We start from the raw sequence: 4,041 nt of genomic DNA, 5'->3' as shown, positions 1-4,041 counted from the left end.
GAATACTGCGCATGTCTTCTCTTATATGCTGTATCTTTTCTTTCCCTTGATTTCCAAGCCAGCCCAGGTATATGAATACCTGAGTGTGTTTATCCAAACTGATGGGTTAATGCAAGAGCACAGGTTTCTTCCCCCTGAACTGGAATTTTCTTTTCTCTGTTCCACATCTGCTAAGTCCCATTTCATCAAGTGTAAGTTCCAACATTTCTTCAGGGAATTCTTTCTTTAGCTCCTGGACTAGATTAGGCTATTTGTTTTAAAGACTCAGAAAGCCTTATACTTTTCTTTGTAAAACTCACGGTGTAATAGTAGGCATCTTTTCTGCTTCTCAAATTACAAGAAAAGGATTGTGTTTGTACTACACACAGGTATATTCCACGAAAGTACACAATGCTTAAAATATAACTGATATTCATTAATTGTCTGTTTGAATAAAAGAATAAATGCACAAAATAATTGATAAAAACATATGATGCAACTGTTTAAAAGGCTACCAAATTTACCCCTGTATTCCTATTGATTTTGGCAACTGAATGTAACCAAAATCAACAGGGATACTGAGAAATATTATTTAATAAAGTTATAAATTGGACTGCTTATCAAATTGATAGGTTCAGTCAATTTTCTTTAGCTCAAGAACAAACTATCGATGGACACAGATCTTAAGAGAGTGAAAATGATACAGATAAAAAGACTGAAAACCTGTAAGACTTTAGTAATTTCACCGATGGCATCCTGCAGACAGTTACCTGGGAACATGTCATTACCAGAATAGAAAGTAAGACTCACTTTTTGCTTCAGAAAATACAGAATACTCAGAAGCCTCATTACATTTTAATAAAACTCCAAATTTATTTAGGTCTTTGAAGTTTTTAAAATACATGTGCAGTAAAATATCCTTATTATCAGAAATACCTATATTTTGATCATGTTAATTTTGTATGAAGCCTTTCCTTAAGTATCGACTGGAAATTGGTTCCAGGACTCCCCGCAGATACTAAAATCCTTAGATGCTAATAATCCTCAGATGTCCTTACATAAGATGGGGAAGTATTTACATGTAGTCTAAGCACATCCTCCCATGTACTTTAATTATCTCTAGATTACTTAAAATACTTAATGCAATGTAAATGCATTAAGTGTAAGTAGTTGTTACACTGTATTATTTAGGGAATAACGACAAGCAAAAAAAGTCTGCACATGTTCAGTGAAAATGTAATCATTCAATTTTTTTTCCTGAAATGTTTTAATCCATGATGAGTTGAATCCATGGGTGCAGAACCCATTTATATGGAGGTCCAACTGTATATCAAATATCATATTTAATGGTGTATTTTCTAGTATTTAATTTAATTACTGGCAATATGGCACACCACAAACATATCAAACGTTTCTGATATGTGTTTTTTGAATTTATTTAAAGCAATCAGGGAATGCCTCCTTTAATGAGGGTTGCTGAGAACAAAGTCTAAAAAAGGCTGACTCCATTTATAAGGATTAACTCTGATCCAAAAGTTTAATGACAGATGGGTTGCATAATGGGTTATTTCAATGATAGGAGTAATGCAAACATACAGTTCTGTAGTCATTTATATTTTAATAGCATTATACTGTTTTAACCATCCTCATCTTGCATATAATCTCATTGTATATTAGAATACTACTATTAGAGCAGTAAAGAAGAATGGATAAATACGGTCAGCTTTTTGCTTTTGTTTTGTTTTGTTTTTGAGACAGGCTCTCACTCTGTCACCCAGGTTGTAGTGCACTGGTGAGATCACGGCTCACTGCAGCCTCGACCTCCCCAGATCAAGCAATCCTCCAACCTCAGCCTCCCAAATAGCTGGACTACAGGCTGAACTGTCATGCCCGAGTAATTTTGTTGTTGCTGTTGTTGGAGAGACAGGGTCTCACCCTGTTGCCCAGGCTTCTCTCAAGCTCCTAGCTCAAGTCATCCTCCCACCTCAGCCTCTAACAGTGCTGGGACTATAGGCATAAGCCACTATGCCAGGCCTAAATACAGCCAATTCAACTGAAGTTTAAATTATTTGTGTTTCACTCTCTTTCATTATAAGAATAATCTGTGTCTTAAAATGTGTTCTTGAACGTGAATTACTTTATGATTGCCCCTTCATAAGAATAGTTCTTAATGTTTAAGAATAATTCACAAAAATATGAAAATTCCTTCATAGAGAATGACTTGAATTAATAGAAGGAATACTAGATACAGGAAGTGGATAATCAAATTTTAAGTGAATTATCTTATTCTGTCCTACACTTGTAAGAGAAAGTGATCCTCCAACCTCAGCCTCTCAAAGTACTGGGAATTATAGGCATGAGCCACCATGCCTGGCATAAATATGGCCAATAATGTAAACTTCAGTTTAATTGGCTGTTCTTATAAGTTTTTGAGAGAAATATGTTTCTCTTCTAATTGTGAGGACTGGATGAGATAATGCACATACAACCTCCACTGATAGGGTAGAATCTCCACCCCGGAACAGCAGGTCTAGGGTTGCTATGCCCAAGTTTCCCACTGGCTGTATCTTCCATCCCTCAAGGGATAAGACAAAACACCGGGAGACACCATCCCCCTACCTACCCCAGCACAGACTTGTAGAGCGTGTGTGAGTGCTGGAGAAGCCCCAGTCAACTCCTTTGCAGTGATGCAGAGATTCATCTAGGAGGACTGACAGGCTGTAAAAACTGAGAGCTTTGCTCAATGCCTCACAGTAATGATTGATTTTGAATCGGTCATGAAGAGGTACATTCCCAAGGGCGTTGTCAAAAACAATGGAGACCTTGGTTGGGAACATTAAAGAGGAGCTTGGAATCTTTAGCATGCTTTGTAGCAAGAAATAAACTTCTGACAGCCAGCCAGAAGTTTACCAGAGAAAACCAGGCAAAGAGAAAGCCAAGAAAAAGTGTCTTAGGATCTCTAATTTCTGGAAATCTGGAAGGCTGTGTATCTGTGCTAGACTGCACCCACTCAAGAGCATCAAGGCGGAATGCGGACAAATTTGTAAGCGCTCCCCAAGCTAACCACTGATTCATCAATAAAGAGCCTTTAGCCCTCCTGGCTGAAGAGCTAAAGCACAAATTCTGAGTGAACACTGGGTGAACAATAAATTATTCTGTTCCAGGGAGTGATTCCTAGAAGCTAGACTTAAAAATAAAATCACAATCATCTCCGGTGATCTGGAAGATTGACCATGCACTGTCATAGCAGTAACCAGAGAGAGGATCTCTGAGCTGTTAGTCCACTGAATGTGGGACATAATTGTCAACTTCTTGATCTGTGAAAACAGTCTCCACGCCACACACACATTGAATGGTAAAGGATAAAAATCTAACTAACTAAGAAGGCTTAGCCACAACTTTCGAAATACAGATTTGGGTAGAAATAGAGATAAATAGATACAAAGATTGCTGAGTTTCATGTTTAGCTGAATTCATGGTAAACATTTATCATCATGAATATGTTCATCTCAGAAGCCAAAAGCATACCTACCCTCAGATGAAGGTTGCATATATATATACGTATATATGTGTGTGCATATATATAATATACATATATATTTCAAAGCAGTCATTCATATGTATATTTTTCAATCAGTAAGCTAATTTTCCAAGCACTATTTTTCATATATATATATATATATAGTCCTAGCACTTTTAGAGGCTGAGGTGGGACGATCACTTGAGCCAGGAGTTGGAGAGAAGCCTGGGCAATAGGGTGAGACCCTCTCTCTCCAACAACAGCAACAACAAAATTACTCAGGCATGGCAGTTCAGCCTCTATCCAGCTATTTGGGAGGCTGAGGTTGGAGGACTGTTTGATCTGGGGAGGTCGACCCTGCAGTGAGGCGTGATCTTACCACTGCACTCCAACCTGGGCGACAGAGTGAGAGCCTGTCTCAAAAACAAAACTAAACAAAACAAAAACAAAAAGCTGACTGTATTTATCCATTCTTCGTTATTGCTCTAATAGCTGTATTCTAATATACAATGAGATTATATACAAGATGAGGATGGTTAAAA

The sequence above is a fragment of the Homo sapiens genome, chromosome 11 (assembly GCF_000001405.40).
Source record: "Homo sapiens chromosome 11, GRCh38.p14 Primary Assembly".
Lineage (NCBI taxonomy): Eukaryota > Metazoa > Chordata > Mammalia > Primates > Hominidae > Homo > Homo sapiens.
This window is presented reverse-complemented; position numbering follows the sequence as displayed.